Genomic DNA, 18635 nt, shown 5'->3' on the forward strand with positions numbered 1-18635 from the left:
CTTCCCACCTCCATGTTCAGCCATGGTATGAGTATTTACACCAGGGAAACTAGCAAGCTCTATAAACCAGAGCTTGATTGTTTTCTTGTTTCTCTGGACTTAAGAAAATGATAGAGAAAAATGTTACCGTGGATTAAACTTAAAAGTGTATTATGGCAGGGTGCGGTGGCTCATGCCTGTAATGCCAGGACTTTGGGAGGCCAAGGCAGGCGGATCATGAGGTCAAGAGATTGAGACCATCCTTGCCAACATGGTGAAATCCCATCTCTACTAAAAATACAAAAATTAGCTGGGCATGGTGGCGCATGCCTGTAATCCTAGCTACTTGGGAGGGTGAGGCAGAAGAATCACTAGAACTTGGGAGGTGGAGGTTGCAGTGAGCTGATATCGTGCCACTACACTCCAGCCTGGCGGCAGAGCGAGACTCCATCTCAAACAAACAAACAAAAACTGTATTATGTCTATAACTGCCACATTATGAATAGCACAAAAATTTGAGGAAATATTCTTCCAGAAAAGCATCAATCAATTCAGGAAACAAATGGGTGAGGTTTTAATATACATCTTTGTAGCCATTTTACTTTGGTCTTCCTCATAAACATAAATAAATGCAGCAATCAACATTCATGCTGGAACTGTATTCACTTGACAATTGAAACCAGAGGTTGGCTACAAGATTACTGCAAAAATTAACAAAAATGCTCTATGAGAATTAATTATTTGGAACTTATAAGACATACAGTAGGGAGTAGTGGGTTTTTTTAATTTATAAATTGATGCCTTTTCTATCAGTAAAATTTATAATAAGCTTATTCCCCAGATATATATGTGTATATATATGTGTATATATATGTATATATATGTGTGTATGTATGTATATATATATATGAATGTCTTCCCCTGCCCTGCTCCACTCCCCCCACCCCTGCTCCAAAGAACCAGTCGTTAAACAGTTACCAGCATTCTTCCGGTTATTTCTCACTGCAGTACAACCTAGCCTCTTTAGCCTATCTTCACTGATACATTAGTAAATCAAATAGAGTGACTTCACCTAGTTGGTTTCTACTTCATCTCTTCTCAAACCACATTTTTGTTATGTTTAATGTGTTTTATGTTCAGCATATTACATCCTTCTCTTTAGAAGCCTGGTGGAAGTATTTCTTTAGTGGCAGGTGACGTGGTGTTCTGGATTTCAAAGCATTTCCAGTGATGCTGTGCCATGCTACACTCTAAACAGCCACTTCTCACTCCCCTTCCTAGCGCCTCGGGGCCAAGCATTTGCTCCCTGACTCCTGAGAGCTGAGGGAGCCTCTTTTTCTATAAAAACAGTCTTATTCGCCACATTCAGGGCACTAGGGTCTGGACAGTCATTCCCAACATGGTCAGTCTCTATGACTCTATCAATTAACATATCTCTGGACCCTATGATGGGTTTTTGACAGTCTAAGAGATTACTCACATGTATTAGATCAGCAGACATTCAAATAAGCATAAAAGAATAAAAATAAGTGAATTAAGATATAAATGGGGGTGTAAGCCATTACATCTGTTTTACACATGAACCTGCAAATCGGGCAGGGCTCTGGGGGCTGGCTCCTTGGGTTGACCTGCAGGGCTGGTGGTGGGATCATTTACAGGCTCGCCCCCTCACATGTCTGGTGCCTGGGATAGGAAGACTCAAGCATACAGAGTTGAAGGGAAGAATTAAACCATTTCTAACTTTAATTTTGTTTACTTTCCCACACTGCACTGATGTACATACTTTAAATTTAGAAGAAGTCCAATTTACCTATTTTTTTCATTTATTGCCAGTGCTTTTGGTGTCATTTCCAAGAAATTACTGCCAAATCCAATGTCATGAAGGTTTTCCCCTGTGTTTTCTTCTACGAGTTTTATAGCTTTAGCTTTTACATTTAAGTCTTTGACTTATTTTGAGTCAATTTTTGTATGTGGTATAACGGAAGAGTCCAACTTCATTCTTTTGCATGTGGATATCCAGTTTTCTCAGCACCATTAATAAGACTACCCTTTCCCTGGAGAGGGTTTTTTGGAGCCCTTGTCAAAAATCAACTGATGATATATGCAGTGGCTTATTTCTTGGCTGTCTTCTCTATACCATTGGTTTCTCTGTCTATCTTTAAGCCAAGATCACACTGTTTAATTACCATGGCTTTGTAGTAAGTTTTGAAATCAGGAACTGTGAGTCCTCCAACTATAGTCTTCTTTTTCAAGATTATTTTAGCTATTCAGGGTTCCTTAATATTCCATATGACAGACAGGTGGAGTAGTACACACCTGTAATCCCAGCTATTCAGTAGGCTGAGGTGAGATGATTATTTGAGCCAAGGAGTTCAAGTCCAGCCTGGGCAACATAGTGACACCATGTCTTATAAAAAGAGAGAGAGTGACAGAGAGAGAGAGAGAGATTTTCTGTAAACTTTAGGATGGGCTTTTCTGTTTCCATAAAAAATACAGGCCACGAGCAGTGGCTCACTCCTGGAATCCCAGCACTTTGGGAGGCCGAGGTGGGCAGATCACCTGAGGTCAAGAGTTCAAGACCAGCCTGGCCAACACAGCGAAACCCTGTCTCTACAAAAATACAAAAACTAGCCAGGCATGGTGGTGTGTGCCTGTAATCCCAGCTACTTGCGAGGCTGAGGCGGGAGAATTGCTTGAATCCGGGAGGCAGAAGTTGCAGGGAGCCGAGATTGCGCCATTGCACTCCAGCCTGGGTGACAGAGACTCCATCTTAAAAAAAAAAAAAAATACCATTGAGAGAGATTTCATTGAATCTGTATATCCCTTCAGGTAGTATTCCCACTTTAGCAATATTATGTCTTCTAGTACATGTACATGGGGGTAATTTTTCATTTACAATTTCAATATTTTGGGGGTTTTCAGTGTACAAGCCTTTCACCCCCTAGGTTAAATATATTCCTAAGGATTTTAGTCTTTGTATTGTAAATGAAAGTTTTAAAATTTCCTTTTTAGATTGTTATTGTTAGTTACAGAAATGTAACTGATTTTTTGTATGTTGATTTTATGTTGTGCAATTTTGCTGGACTTGTTGATTGGCTTTCATTCAAAAACGTATTTTGTCTTCATTTCTGAAGGACATTGTTGATGCACATAGAATTCTGGGATGACAGAGTATTGTTGGAGGAATGGGGTTTGGCTGCTTGTTTTTTTCTTTCAGCACTTAGAAGATGTTCCACTCTCTTCTGGTCTCCACGGTTCCAGTGAGAAATCTTCAAATTTTTCTTCCCCTATATACAATCTGTTGTTTTCATCTACCTGCTCCCCATCCCTCTTCTTCTTTTCCTCTTGCAGTTATTGTGTCTTGGCACAATATTTTTCATGTGTATCCTGATTAGGGTTCATGGAAGTTTGTTTTTCCCTGAATTTGGTAAGTTTTAAGCATGCCATTATGTTTCAAATAATTTTTCCACACCTATTTCTCTTCTCCTCTGGGACTCCAAGGATATAAAGGTGAAACGTTTTGATATTATCCCACAGGTCCCTGAGGCTCTGCTCATTTTGTTTTAAATCTTTGTTCTTTCTCTACTTCAGACTGGATAATTTCTATTGATCATTTTCCACTGTTTCTCTGACACCTCCATTCTACTATTAAGCCCATCCAGTGAATCATCTTCTTGCACTATGTTGTATTTTTCAGTCCTAAAATATTCATTTTGTTCTTTTTTATAGTTTTGATTTTCCTACTGAAAACTCATTTCCATTTTTTCATTTATTTCAAGTATAGTTATAATAGCTCTTTAAACTTTGTGTGCTAATTTCAATATCTGGGTCATCTCATGGTTGCCATTTGTTGATTGTCTTTTCCCTTGGGAAATGGGAATAGTTTTCTGGTTATTTGTATATCAAATAATTCTGCATTCTATCTTGGACATATTAATATGTTGAGCAGCTCTGGGCTTTGTGTGATCATGCTGATTTTTTGTGGTTTGTTTTGCAGCCTGTTTTGGTTCAGACGGCAAGTTCCTTTTTGCTTTCTGTGGGCGGTGTTTTCTATCTCAGTTCTCCAGGCTTTTCTTATGCTTCTCTGGGTCTGTTCTGTGCACTCACAGCTCTGGATGAGCTCGAGAGTTGGCTAGATTCATACACATAATTAGGGGGTGCCCTTCTCCAATGCACTTCTCTCTGAGATGTCCCCCACATGGTCTGACTCCCAGAAGCCCCTTTTCCTGGTTCCTCTGATCATAATGATAGTTTTATCTTGGGGTTTCAGCTGCCCCCATCATCACCACAGTAGTATAGCTGTGCAAGGTGAGCTGCCCTTGTGGCTGGACCAAAATAGAAAAAAAGGAAGAAAAGAAACGTAAATAGGGACTTCCCATCCCCTGCACTCTTGACTTGTTTTTCTGTGGTCAGAAAGGAAGGGTTTCTTTCTCTTTTTTTTTGAGACAGAGTCTTGCTCTGTCACCCACGCTGGAGGGTAGTGGCATGATCTTGGCTCACTGCAACCTCTACCTCTGAGATTCAAGCAATTCTCATGCCTCAGCCACCTGAGTAGCTAGGACGACAGGCACACGCCACCACACCAGGCTAATTTTTGTATATTTTGTAGAGACAGAGTTTTGCACGGCTGTTCTCAAACTCCTTGTCTGAAGCAATTCTCCTGCCTTGGCCTCCCAAAGTGCTGGGATTACAGGTGAGAGCCACCACACCTGGCTGAAAGGAAGGGGTTCTCTTAAGAGTTTTTGCTCTCTGTGTCCACTGTGAAGCTCTATAGTTCATGCTGCAGGCCACCCTTGTGTGGAAGGCAAAAGATGAAGAAAGAAAAAAAACTTGGAAACTCACTGGTATTGGTCATTTTTCAAGTTTTTATTTCTCTCCCCTGCTGTTGTTTACTTTTCAGAGTCTTCAGGTAGATGCTTTTTGTTCTCAAAATTAGTTGTAATCAGTGGAAGAGTTAGCGACTAAAATATTCTCATTGAATTTAGAAAAGAGTTCTGGTCAATCTCACTCACTGGGCTGTTAGCTCCAAGAAGGCATGGACCATGTCTGTGATACATGGTAAGGTCAAAATAATTGTTAAGTTAATTAATATTGGGCAAAGAAAAATGAACAACAAAATATTGAAGTAAATTTTTGAAAACTTTAATTTAGGTTCAGTGGCACATGTGCAGATTTGTTATATAGGTAAACTCATAACACAGGGGTTCGTTGTACAGACTATTTCATCACCCAGGTACTAAGCCTACTACCCAATAGTTATTTTTCCTGATCCTTTCCCTCCTCCCACTCTTTACCCTCAAGTACGCCTCTGTGTGTGTTGTTCCCCCTTTGTGTCCATGTGTTCTCATCATTTAGTTCCCAGTTATAAGTGAGCACATGTGGTATTTGGTTTTCTGTTCCCGTGTTAGTTTGCTAAGGATAATCACTTCCAGCTCCATCCGTGTTCCTGTAAAGGACGTGATCGTTCTTTCTATGGCTTCATAGCATTCCACGGTGTATATGTACCACATTTTCTTCATTCAATCTGCCACTGATAAGCATTTAGGTTGAGTCCATGTCCTTGCTATTGTGAATAGTGCTGCAATGAACAGTTGCCTGCATGTGTCCTTATGGTAGAATGATTTAGACTTCTCTGGGTATACACTTAGTAATGGGATTGCTGGGTCGAATGGTAGTTCTGTTTTTAGCTCTTAGAGGAATTGCTACACTGTTTTCCGCAATGGTTGAACTAATTTACATTCCGACAGTGAATAGGCATTCCTTTTCCCCCACAACCTCGCCGGTGTCTGTTATTTCTTGACTTTTAATAATAACCATTCTGACTGGCATGAGATGGTATCTCATTGTGGTTTTGATTTCTCTAATGATCAGTGATACTAACTTTTTTCATATGCTTGTTTGGCGGTATATATGTCTTCTTTTGAAAAGTATCTTTTCATCTCTTTTGTATTAATTTTTAAAAACACTTTATGTAAACAGAATATATGTAGTGTGTCTAAGTGTGAGATAATGTTGTAGGAGTGATATATCTTTTGCTTAAGACTTGCAATTAATGGCAAAATTTCTGTAGGCACACCATGGTTTAGAAAGATTTAAATGGGAGGAATTTTTTTACCGTTGTAATATTAAATAATAAAGCTCTTGGCAGAAAAAGATAAATCTGAAAGTAATATACTATTGAGGAAACAATAGAAATTGGCATGGAGTTACAAAAGAGAAAGAAAATCATTTAAAAATCCAAGTTTCAAGTTTTGATAACAAAAGTAACAATAATGTGCCGTAGAGAAAATAAAGGAAGCAAGGAACCTTATTATCCCCTCTTAACAATATGTGACACAAGCCTTGACAGCCGAAGTCAATGGAAGCTGTACCTTTGAACTCTTCTTTGAGGTATCAGTGCCTGTCCAAAGGAGACAAAGCCATCAGAAAGACATGGAGAAGGCCGGGCGCGGTGGCTCACGCCTGCTATCCCAGCACTTTGTGAGGCTGAGGCAGGCGGATCATGAGGTCAGGAGTTCAAGACCAGCCTGACCAACATGGTGAAACCCTGTGTCTACTAAAAATACACAACAAATTAGCCAGGCATGGTAGCACACGCCTGTAATCCCAGCTACTCCGGAGGCTGAGGCAGGAGAATCGCTTGAACCCGGGAGGTGGACGTTGCAGTGAGCTGAGATCGCGCCACTGCACTCCAGCCTGGCCAACAGAGTGAGACTCCGTCTCAAAAAAAAAAAGAAAGACATGCAGAAGCCCGATAATAAAACGGTCGCAGGCCAAGGCCAGAGACACATATCTGGGGTCATCTGTCCACAGAGAGTAACATTACATAAGATGCTGTTGACATCTTTTGGCAGAGGCGAAGGGGGATTATCACGGGGGTCCCCTCGTAGGCTGGAAGAGTGATTGATGTTCAGGCGCAAATAACTATGGCTCATTCCAGTGGTTTGTCTCCAGTGTTTTCTTTACAGAAATGAAAGGAATCAGGGCAGGGGACATTTCCAAAATATATATCTTTCAACAGAAAAGAATAATTTGTTTAAATGACAGAAATTATTAGAAGATTACAGAAGAGAGAAATGGTTTGGTTAAATCTTTTTTTTTTTTTTTTTTTGAGATGGAGTCTCGCTCTGTCGCCCAGGCTGGAGTGCAGTGGCGTGATCTCGGCTCACTGCAAGCTCCGCCTCCCGGGTTCACGCCATTTTCCTGCCTCAGCCTCCCAAGTAGTTGGGACTACAGTCGCCTGCCACCACGTCCAGCTAATTTTTTGTATTTTTAGTAGAGATGGGGTTTCACCGTGTTAGCCAGGATGGTCTCGATCTCCTGACCTACTGATCCGCCCACCTCGGCCTCCCAAAGTGCTGGGATTACAGGCATGAGCCACTGAACCCGGCTGGTTAAATCTTAAGGGTCTCATTGTTTCAGAATTTTTGAAATGATTTATAAGAAAAAAAATTTTGAAAAATAAAGTGATTTTCAACACATTTTAAATAAAGCATATAGATCCCTGAACACTAAATATGACCACACTGTTAAGTATTAAAAGTAGTGTTGAAAAATAATATTAGACTATAAAACTAAAAGCTAGGAGTGAAGGAAAAAATGGAAGACAATTTAATGTTTTTAAAAGGCAAGCTAAATGCAAGGGGTTTATTGGATTGGTGCCCGGACCATCCATAGCGAACGGCAGCAAGTATCATTCGATCATACACAGAAAGAAAAATAGGTGGTGAGTGGTGGAGGTGAGGAGGGACAGCTGGCAGTCATGACGCCTGCAACACACTTCCCCAGAGTATCATAAGGAAGCTGGAAGCAAAGCCTTCTACATTCCTACACCCCTGGCCGACCGATCGAAAGGTCTTCAAACCTGTAATTGTACACTTTAGTTTGCAAGGCAATCAAAGACTGGATTTCACTCACAATAGTCTTTCAATGTGACTTTTGTCCTACTGGATATGCTATAATAAAACCTAAGTTACAACGCAAAGAAAGAAATCAAAACAATCACTATAAAGTCCATTTTCTCTGCCAAGATGAGTGGAAGTATATGAAGTCAAATTTGAATCTGCATGGAGGATTGACAATATGTACAAACACGTAAGCCAAGGTGAGGACATAGTGGAGGAGTTAAAGGAATGGTGAGCAGTGACCTGGGAATTAGAAGTCGTGGGGCTTGGCCCCAGTGCCATTGGTACCAGTTGTGGGACCTAAGCAGACTGTGGCTCGCTTGGCCTTGATGTCCTGGTTGTTAAAATTATAGGCTGGCTCAACATCCCAACAACCCTTTCTGGCTCCTCTTATGGTAACTTTTGCATAAGTGGAAACTGCAGAAAAGAGAACACAAAGCCTCTGACATGCAGATGGCAACGCTTTAATATCACCAACTCAGAGGTTCCAAATAGGCAACAGGCCCTGCAACCTAATCACCATCAGTAGGAAGGGCTAGTGGGCTGAGCACGGTGGCTCACAACTGTAATCCCAGCACTTTGCGAGGCCAAGGCAGGAGGACTGCTTGAGGTCAGGAGTTAAAGAGCTCCCTGGGCAACACAGTGAGATCATGTCTCTACAAAAAATTTTTAAAGTTAGCTGTGAGTGGTGACATATGCAGTCCCGTCTACTCGGAGCCCTTGAGTTCAAGGCTGCAATGAGCTATCATCACACCACTACACTCCAGCCAAGGTGACAGACAAAGACCTTGTCAAAAAAACCAACAAACAAACAAAAAACAAGAAGCAGCAGGAAGAAAGAAGAAGAAAAAAACTATACTAACACGAAAGTTGTCAAATTTTGTAGCCTGGTCAACATAGCAAGACCCCATCTCTAGGGGAAAAAAAAAATTGCCAGGCATGGTGGCATGCACCAGTAGTCTTAGTTACTAAGGAGGCTGAAGCAGAAGGATTGCTTGAGCCCACGAAATAATGGCTGTGTGACCCGAGATCATGCCACTACACTCAAGCCTAGGTGACAGGGTAAGACCCTGGTCTCTAAAAAAAAAAAAAAAAAGACTTGTGGATACAGCTAAAGAAGTACTTGCAAGAAAATGTATGGCTTTAAATTCATTTCTGAGAAAAAAAGGTTAAAAATCAACAAGCTTCCAACTCAAGAAGCTAAAAACCATCAAATTAAATACAGAGAAAGTAGAAGGAAATAAATAAAAAGTTAGGTCAGCTGGGCACAGTGGCTCACACCTGTAATCTCCAGTACTTTGGGAGGCCAAGGTGAGTGGATCACGAGGTCAGGAGATCGAAACCATCCTGGCTAACACAGTGAAACCCTGTCTCTACTAAAAATACAAAAAAAAAAAATTAGCCGGGTGTGGTGGCGGGCGCCTGTAGTCCCAGCTACTCAGGAGGCTGAGAGGGGAGAATCGTGTGAACCTGGGAGGCGGAGCTTGCAGTGAGCTGAGATCTTGCCACTGCACTCCAGCCTGGGCGACAGAGCGAGATTCCCTGGGCAACAGAGTGAGACTTTGTCTCACAAAACAACAACAACAACAAAATTATAAAATTGACAAAGTCCTTGCTTGTTTGTTCAATGGGGAGAAGGTGGGAAAACAAGATCACCAATATCAGTTATGAAAAAGAGGACATAATTACAGAGATAAAGAATATTATAAACAATTTTTTTGCTAGCAAATTTGACAACTTAGATGAAGTGAACAAATTTCTTGAAAACCACAACTTATCAAATTTGACACAAGATAAAATAAGTTCAATTGTATATATCTGAAAGCCACTAAAACATTTAATTTTTAATTTTCAAAATCAGTGTGTATGTGTGTGTGTGCGCGTGTGTAAAATCTACACTTAAAAACCCTTCTACAGAGAAACCCAGGCTGGGCTCCAAAAGCTTAGCATTGACTTTAGCCTAAAGTTGTGCCTAACCACAGAGGGTCTGTGCAGCACTGACTTCATCTTGGCCCCCCGTACTTGCCTACTCTTCACAGTCTTTTGCCTCATTTCATTCTTTGTTTTATTCTACTGTTTTGCATGCATCATTGTAAGTCACTGTGCAGCTTCTTTGCAACAAAGTGAAATATAGTCATGCTATACTTAAAGATGGAGATACTATAAACACTGTACACTTACAGGCTACATTACATTTATTTTTTAAAATCTATTTCTTCAATAATAAATTAACCTTACTTTGCTATAACTTGTTTTAAAACTAATTTTTAAAAACGTTTTGATTCTCATAACAGTTAGCTTAAAATACACCTTGTACAGCTGTACAAAAATATTTCCTTTCTTCATATGTCTATTCTATAAGCCATTTAAAAACCTTTCTATTACTTTCTAAACTTTTTTTATTAAAAACTAAGACACAAACACACACATCAGCTTTGGCCTACACAGGGTCAGGATCATCAATATCACTGTGTTCCATCTCCACATGTTATCCCACCTCCACATGTTATCCCACTAGAAAGTCCTCAGGGGAAATAACATGGATGGAGCTGTCATCTCCTATGACCACAATGCATCCTTCTGGATTTCTCCTGAAGGACCTCACTGAGGCTATTTAGCAAGTGCTGCTATTTTCAGAAATATGTCTTCGGTGGTTTGCTTGGTTTGTTTCTTTTTTACATCACAGATTTGCCTGCAAACAGATAATGCACCATATACAGTCCTCTCTATTAATGAAAACCTTTCAGTGTTGGGCTCTATGTTTTCAAACTTTTTAAGGAGCTTTCTGAGGTCTACAAAAGCTTCTGCCAAACCCTTCATTGTTACTCTTCTTAGGAGTTCTTTTTTCTCTGTTTCCTCTTCTCTTGCCTCTTCTTCAGCTATGCATTCCTGTTCCAGTTCCAACAGCTCCTCATTCTTCAATTCCTCAAGAACCACCTCAAAGAGCTCCTCTACATCATCCTCATTCACACCTAGTTGGAGTCGTTTGCTATGACAACCACAGCCTTGGTTTTTGCAACCTCCTCATACTGGCTAATCCTTTGAAGTCATAGACAAACCTCTTGAGTGTCTTCGTCCAGATTCCATTCATACACGCCTTGGTGACCATGCCAAAGTTCTTGATGCAGTCATAGTAAGGGAGGAGACCACCCTTCATATTGTCTTATGCCCAATTTCTGCCTCCAAAGAAAGAAGTAAAAACTAAAAGGCAGAAATGAAATCCACAGGCAGACAGCCCGGCGCTGCCTGGCTGATCCACAGGCAGACAGCCCGGCCTGGTAGTTGAAGATCGACCCCTGACCTAACTGGTTATCTATAGATTCCAGACATTATATGGAAAAGCATTGTAAAAATCCCTGTCCTGTTCTGTTCCGATCTGATTACTGGTGCATGCAGCCCCCAGTCACGTACCCCCTGCTTGCTCAAACGATCACCACCCTCTCACGCAGAACCCCTTAGAGTTGTGAGCCCTTAAAAGGGACAGGAATTGCTCACTCGGGGAGCTCAGCTCTTGAGACAGGAGTCTTGCCAATGCTCCCAGCGGAATAAACCCCTTCTTTCTTTAACTAGGTGTCTGAGGAGTTTTGTCTGCAGCTCATCCTGCTACAATAGATGTTGTAATCCTTCTAGAGTTGCATCAGTGTCTTCTCAGCATCTTCCTCAGCCACAGCAATAGCCTAGGCAAAAGTCCTTCTCAGGTAGCAGGCCTTAAAGGCGCTATAAGTCCTTGGTCCATTGGTTGAATCAAAGAAGTGGTTTTAGAGGAGAAACACCACCTCAATATTGGGATGAAGATCACCAATAAAGGGAGTATGTGCGGGAGCATTAAGGGTAAGCACAATCTTGAAAGGTACCGTACGTTCTTCTCCAAACAATGCTGGCAGCTTCATTACTTCCTGCTCTCCCAAAGCATTAACATGTATGTGGTTTTGGGTTTCCATGTGATATGGTTTGGCTGTGTCCCCACCCACATCTCATCTTGAATTGTAATCCTCATAATCCCCAGGTGTTGAGGGAGAAACCAGGTGGAGATGATTGGATCATGGGGGTGGTTTGCCCCATGCTGTTCTCAGGACAGTGAGTGAGTTCTCATGACATCTGATGGCTTTACAAGCATCTTGCATTTCACCTGCTGGCACTCTCTCTCCTGCTGCCTTGTGAAGAAGGTAGCTGCTTTTGCTTAGCCTTCCACCATGACTGTAAGTTTCCTGAGGCCTCCCCAGCCATGCAGAACTGTGAGTCAATTAAACCTCTTTTCTTTAATAAATTACCCAGTCTTGGGTATTTCTTTATAGCAGCATGAGAATGGACTAACAATACACCATGGTACCAATTATGACTGTAATTCTCTATTACTTCTGTGCTCCAGTGCTTAGTTCTGTTTGGCAATTATTTTGTTGTTTCCAGTGACTTAATTATGTGGTCTATGACTTAATTACCTTGGATCCAATCACCAGGTGCTGAAGGGGACAATTTCCTAGTACAAACCTGGTTTTGTAGCTCTATCTCATAGAGCAGTGCCTCCAGGGAGTGAAACCACCTTTACAAGAGAAAATCATGATGGTGAAGGAGATCTGATCTAACCAACCCCCATCTTGCCTTTAACCTCCAAACTGCTCTTAATCATTCCTGGGCTCAGGCTAAGCTAACTTTAGGAGACATTTAGTTTACAGTTTAAATGATAATATCTCTTCCCCAAAACTAAACCGCCTTTGTAAAGCTAACAAAAGGCCATCAGATAGAGAGATGAAGGGAGCCTGAGTTCTGCTCAGGAGAAGATGTGAATGGTTACCAGCCATTATTCCAGAGGTCACAAGATTTGAAATTTCCCCAACTACTCCTGCAGGTAACATCACTATTGTAGAACCTAAGACTGGCCTTTTGAGATGTCCTTTCAGGTATTTGCATTTTTGACAACTGACACACTGGGACCATCAACTGGTCTTGTGGCCTCACCTAGAAGTAGACTCAGCACAGCATGGATGGGGACCATTTTCCACACCCCTATGATTGCATCCCCAACAAATCAGCAACACCCAAACTATCCTTGAAAAACTGTAGCCTCTGAACTTCCAGGGAGACTGATTTGCATAATAAAACTCTGGTCTCCCATTCCGCTGGCTCTGCATGACATTAAACTCTTTCTCTATTGCAATCCCCGTCTTGATAAATCAGCTCTATCTTGGCAGCAGGCAAGATGAACCCATTGCATGGTTATAGGGGCACCTCCCATGAGTGGGAAGGATTGGGAAAGCACCCATGTGCATCCACACAGCGGCAGTGTGCCGGGGACTTAGCATGGCACACAGATTCCCTCACATAGAGTCTAAGGTCAAAGGAGGGGGTGGCCCTCGGAGTGGCCGGCCAGGTCCCACACTCACTCGCTCATGTGCTCCCTCCCTCGAGGGGCTGAGTGCAGTGGGCCGAGTAGACCCACCCCTGCTGCAAGTCTGGTAAAGGGGGTCGAAACAAATCCCGTGTCAGTATGGGATCTAATTGATATGCGGCAAATAACTGGAGGGCACAGCTAGGCAAGGGTCTCAGAGCAAGGTGAGGCACAAACAATTCTGTGAGAAGCACCTGTGGGATCTATTGTCCTGAGAGGGCTGTTTACCCAGAGAAGCCTCCTGGTGTGCTGGGAAGGGGCTAGCCCGGCAGTCTATTGTTTGCATAAATGGACATTTAAGCGATTCCTGAAGAAAACAACAAGTTATTGACTGGTTTTATAGCCTTATCTTCCTGGACAAGAATTTCCTGCAACAAAGAGTTGAGAAAAGAAAAGAATTTTTATCTGAGGAATGCTAGTCCTTTTAATTATCAGGCCAAGAGAGACATTAAAATAAGATCACAGAAGTCCAGCAAGGAGGTGTGTGCCTGTAGTCCCAGCTACTCAGGAGGCTGAGGCAGGAGGATCACTTGAGCCCAGGAGTTCAAGACCTGCCTGGGCAACATAGCTAGACCCTGTATCATAAAAAATAAAAAAGAACATATAACAAGACCATGGTCACATCCTCCTTCCCCCTTGAGCTATATATTCATCTCTTAAAACTGTTTGCTATTGCCACAAGTAGCTATAAATTAACCTAATAATGCTGCAACTGACACTATAACCCACAGGCTACAGCTTAGCAATACATAGCCAATCACTAATCTATGTTATTTATGTGAACCCCAAAGAGATTTCCTGACAAACCACTTTGTATCAGCCCACTCTCTGTCCCCATTTCCCTTTAAAAATCCACTTGTAATCGCCGCTAATTGGAGTGTATATTCAGGGTAACTTGAAACTATGCTCCCGGGTTGCAATCCTCAAGCTTGGCCCCAAAACACTCCCTATTTATGTTAATTTTGCCCCAGCTTCTTCCTTTTAGGTCAACAGAATCAAGTCACATTGAAGTTGGCTTAGTCCTGACAGTCAGGTCATGGCACACCTAGGCATCCATGGTCTGGGTAGAGCTGTGTACTGAGGTCAGAGAAGCAGCTCATGGTACAGCCTTGCAGGCCACAGGCAGGACTTAATTTGGATTTTTTTCTGGGCTGGGAGTATTTCAAGCACAGAAGTGATAAGAGTTTGCTAGGGCTGCTGTAACACAGTACCACACACTGGGTGGCTTTAAAAAAAGGGCATTTATTGTCTCTCAGTGCTGGGAGCAGAAAGTTTAAAAACAAGCTGTCAACAGGGTTGGTTCTTTGTGAAGGCTGGGAGGAAAATGACACCAAATATTTCACCCCAAAATAGACTTCTTTGACATACTTCAAAATGGCTATTCAGAAGGCCTGTAAACACAAGAATTGCCCTGCAAATCTAGGCTCCCCTTTTGAGTTGGGGAGAGGGGAGGAGGTTTGCATCTGCAGAGGAAATAAAGTGAAGTCAACAACAGCTGTAAGAAGGCTTTCTCTGAAGCCCCTTTGTCCAGATCTAGGAAAGATGACCTGAGAGTCTCAAACCTTTAAAATCTGACATACACTTCCCATCGCCTACCTACCCTCTATTCTTCCTGAGGGCTGCTACCTTGGTTTCCTCTGTATAACAAGACTGCCTTAGGTGCGAGGTCTCCTCTTCTCTCCTCCCATAACCTGTTTTGCTTCTCGCTCTAACCTCAAGATGGTATAAAAGCATCAACTGGCCTGGAGCGGTGGCTCATGCCTGTAATCTCACCACTTTGGAAGGCCGAGACAGGCAGATAACTTGGAGGTCAGGAGTCCAAGACCAGCCTGGCCAACATGGTGAAACCCTAAAAATACAAAAATTAGCTGGGCGAGGTGGCGCATGCCTGTATTCCCAGCTACTCAGGAGCCTGAGGTGGGAGAATTGCTTGAACCCACGAGGCAGAAGTTTCAGTGAGCCAAGATTGTACCACTGCGCCCTGGCCTGGGCGACAAGAGCCTTGAGACTCCATCTCAAAAAAAATAAAATCAAAAAAAGCATCATCCAACTGGCCATTTGAGTTTTTCATATTTTGTATGACTTCTGTGCCTGAATGCATGTTAATAAACATGCTTTTTTTTCCTTGATCTGTCTATTCCCAGCGGTGTTTTTGTTTTTGTTTTGAGACGGAGTCTCGCTCTGTCACCAGGCTGGAGTACAGTGGCGCGATCTCAGCTCACTGCAATCTCCGCCTCCCGGGTTCAAGCGATTCCCCTGCCTCAGCCTCCCAAGTAGCTGGGATTACAGGCACGTGCCATCATGCCTGGCTAATTTTTTGTATTTTAGTCGAGACGGGGTTTCACCATGTTGGCCAAGATGGTCTTGATCTCCTGACCTTGTGATCCGCCTGCCTCAGCCTCCCAATCCAGTTGGCTTTATAGGATCAAATCAGTGAAGTCTGAGGGGGAAAAATAAACCCTATAGAGGGAAGGATCTGTTCCAGGCCTCTCTCCTTGGCTTGTGGACAGCCCCCTTCTCCCTGCAACTCTTCACACCATCTTCCCCCTACATGTCTGTGTCTAAATGTCCTCTTCTCAGAAGGATTACGGCCCATCCTAATGACCTAATGACCTAATTTTAATTGGGTACCTCTGTGGAGACCATAGCCAAATAAGGTCATGTGCTAAGGCAAGGCAGGGGGCTAGTCCTTCACCATGAGTTTGGGCTTTATAACATTGTGCCATTGTGCTTAAAATACTATTTTCAAAAACAATAAAAAATTTAGGAAAGGTAGCATTGTTTTACTTATTTTTTCACATCTTTCAGTTAGATTCCCATACCTGCTTCTGCATTCAATCTGCTGCCATGTTTTGTGCTTTGCTGTTGTTGTTGTCATTTTTGGCTGAAGTATATAAAGAAAATCCAGCCTTATATAGATTTGTAATTGGAAAAAGGGAGGGTTTTTTTGGGGGGTGCAGGGGAACCGGGTCTCACTCTGTCCTCCAGGCTGGAGTACAGTGGTGTGATCTCAGCTCACTGCAACCTCCTGGGCTCAGGGGACCCTCCTACCTTAGCCTCCTGAGTAGCTAGATGAGACTACGGGTATGCACCACCACACATGGCTAATTTTTGTATTTTTTGTGGTGAAACATGGGGTTTCGTCATGTTACCTAAGGTGGTCTCAAACTCCTGGGTTCAAACAATCTGCCCACTTTGGCCTCACACAGTGCTGCGATTATAGGCATGAGCTACCTGTAGTGCCCAGCCTGGAAGGGGTATTTTTAAAGCCTTTTCAGATAATGTGACTATTCTTCTTTCATATTACACTAAAACTCAGGAACTGGTAATTGCTTAAAGGTTAGTAGCCATGTAAAGTCTGAAATTATATCAATGAAATTTTTGTAGTTAAATTAAAACCTATTGGTATATCTTGTGCTTGCAAGAGCCATTTACCCATTCATCATTTTAAAATATCATGCATTATTTAAAAAACATTGGTTTGGTTTACTGCATTGTGCCAACCTTCCAAATTCTGACACATTGCATCATACAGTATTGAAAAATCACAATGGTTGCTATTACCACAGTCCTCATGAAAAAGGTCTTCAAGAACTGAGAAGGTGTCAAGCTCATAGAGCAATATAAGTTTTCCAAGATTCAAGTTTTCACTTGAAAGCTTCAATTTTATTGTTGGCAACATTACCCACTGTTTTCTTTTGAAGTGAATTTGTTTTTGAAAAAAGTGTCTGCCAGACTCACCACTTTATCTGCTAGTTATTCTTTCAAGCAAAAGTGATGTTCCACGAAAAAAGTAGCTCTCAGCTTGCAGCTCAGAGGTTGTTTCCTACAGGGGAGCTATTGAGCTTTGGTATGCTTCCCATGTGCTTCATGCAAGTTCCATTTAGTCACATGGAGTATTCATAAGATGTGTACTCCACAGTTGACATTTAATAAAATTGACTTTTTTTTTTTTTTTTTTTTTTTGCTATCACATTCAGGCTATTCTTAAGCGTTTTTCTGCCATGATCACATTGTGATGAAGAACATGATGGTCACTAGTAGGTAACTTTCTGTGTCATTGCCTTACTCTCAGTGAGGTGCTAGTGGATTTACCTACCCCTGCTTTTGCATCACCACTGTAAATCTAATAGTGAAAAGGCAAATGATGTCTCAGTATCACTGTGAAAACATTTTTCCCTTGGACCAGCTGAAAGCATCTTGAGGAGCCTGAAGGCTTCAAGGTCCACACGTCAAAAAAACACAGCCCTAGACTGATGGTGGCCCATTATGGGTGGGGTCAGCTTCCCCCTAGATCACATGGGTTCTGTTGGGAGGGGTGGCTTGTCTGCATGACCATCTTAGTCACCTCAAGGAGGGAAGGGGCAAAGGATTGCCAAGCATCTACTGCGTAAGTAGATAGCTGTAACCTCTGGGTAAGAAAGTGGGATTGGGTGCGGCATGAGGGAAATGTCCACATTTCATTCAATATTCAAAACATAGGATTGCTTACACTTTTTATAACAGGAATGCCTTCTTGTTTTATCTGTGCAAACAGCAAAATAAAAGCATGAATGGGAACTGACCAAAGTTTTATTTAGTTTTTACAGAAATAGGATCATAGTGCATGTATTATCCAGCAACTTGCTTTGTCACCTAGTGTCCTGGAGATCTGTCCACGACTACGCATTTAGTGCTACTTATTCCTGTCCAACTGCTGCATACCATTTCACTTATCAGTACTGTGTATCCACAAAGCTATTCTGCTACTGATGTGCACTTAGGTAGATGGACTGATTAAAAGGGTATCTGTCTGTATTAGGCTGTTCTTGCATTGCTATAAAGAAATACCTGAGACTGGGTAATTTATAAAGAAAAGTGGTTTAATTGGCTCACATTTTGGCTGGCTGTACAGGAAGCATAGTGCTGGCATCTGCTCAGCTTCTGGGGAGGCCTCAGGAAACTTACAATCATGGTGAAAGGAAAAGGGAGAGCAGGAGCAAGAGTGAGTGGGGAGGTGCTACGTGGTTTTCAACCACCAGATCTCGCGAGAATCACTCACTATCCTGAGGACAGTGCCAAGAGGGACGGTGATACCTATTCATGAGAAAACTGCCCCTGTGATCCAATCGCCTGGCACCAGGCCCCACCTCCAACATTGGGGGTTAAGACTGATAATGAGATTTGGGTGGGGACACAGATCCAAACCATATGGCTGTCCATTCTTAGAACATACTGTCAAATTTCCTTCCAAGAACACTGTACATGAGGGATTCGTTTTTCTCTCCATACATGGTCACCACCAAAGGCTAAGCTACCATCATCCTTTCTAGCTGGGAGTCTAGCTATAGTCTCCAAACTGTTTAAAATATACTCTCCACAATGCC

At 42.2% G+C, this 18635-nt stretch overlaps 1 long non-coding RNA gene across 1 annotated transcript in view, besides 2 other annotated features; it reads right to left on the bottom strand.

Moving 5' to 3' along the window:
- Window positions 1–18635, bottom strand: part of MCPH1-AS1 (MCPH1 antisense RNA 1) — a 92607-nt gene that overhangs the window by 70632 nt on the left and 3340 nt on the right. The window lies entirely within an intron of this gene.
- Window positions 4141–4520: an enhancer, noted in NCBI's record as "active region_26951". NCBI's record gives its function as "activates an Ori minimal core promoter by ATAC-STARR-seq in GM12878 lymphoblastoid cells {active_cell/tissue: GM12878}" and the evidence as "EXISTENCE:reporter gene assay evidence [ECO:0000049][PMID:35858748]".
- Window positions 4621–4670: an enhancer, noted in NCBI's record as "active region_26952". NCBI's record gives its function as "activates an Ori minimal core promoter by ATAC-STARR-seq in GM12878 lymphoblastoid cells {active_cell/tissue: GM12878}" and the evidence as "EXISTENCE:reporter gene assay evidence [ECO:0000049][PMID:35858748]".

The sequence above is a fragment of the Homo sapiens genome, chromosome 8 (assembly GCF_000001405.40).
Source record: "Homo sapiens chromosome 8, GRCh38.p14 Primary Assembly".
Lineage (NCBI taxonomy): Eukaryota > Metazoa > Chordata > Mammalia > Primates > Hominidae > Homo > Homo sapiens.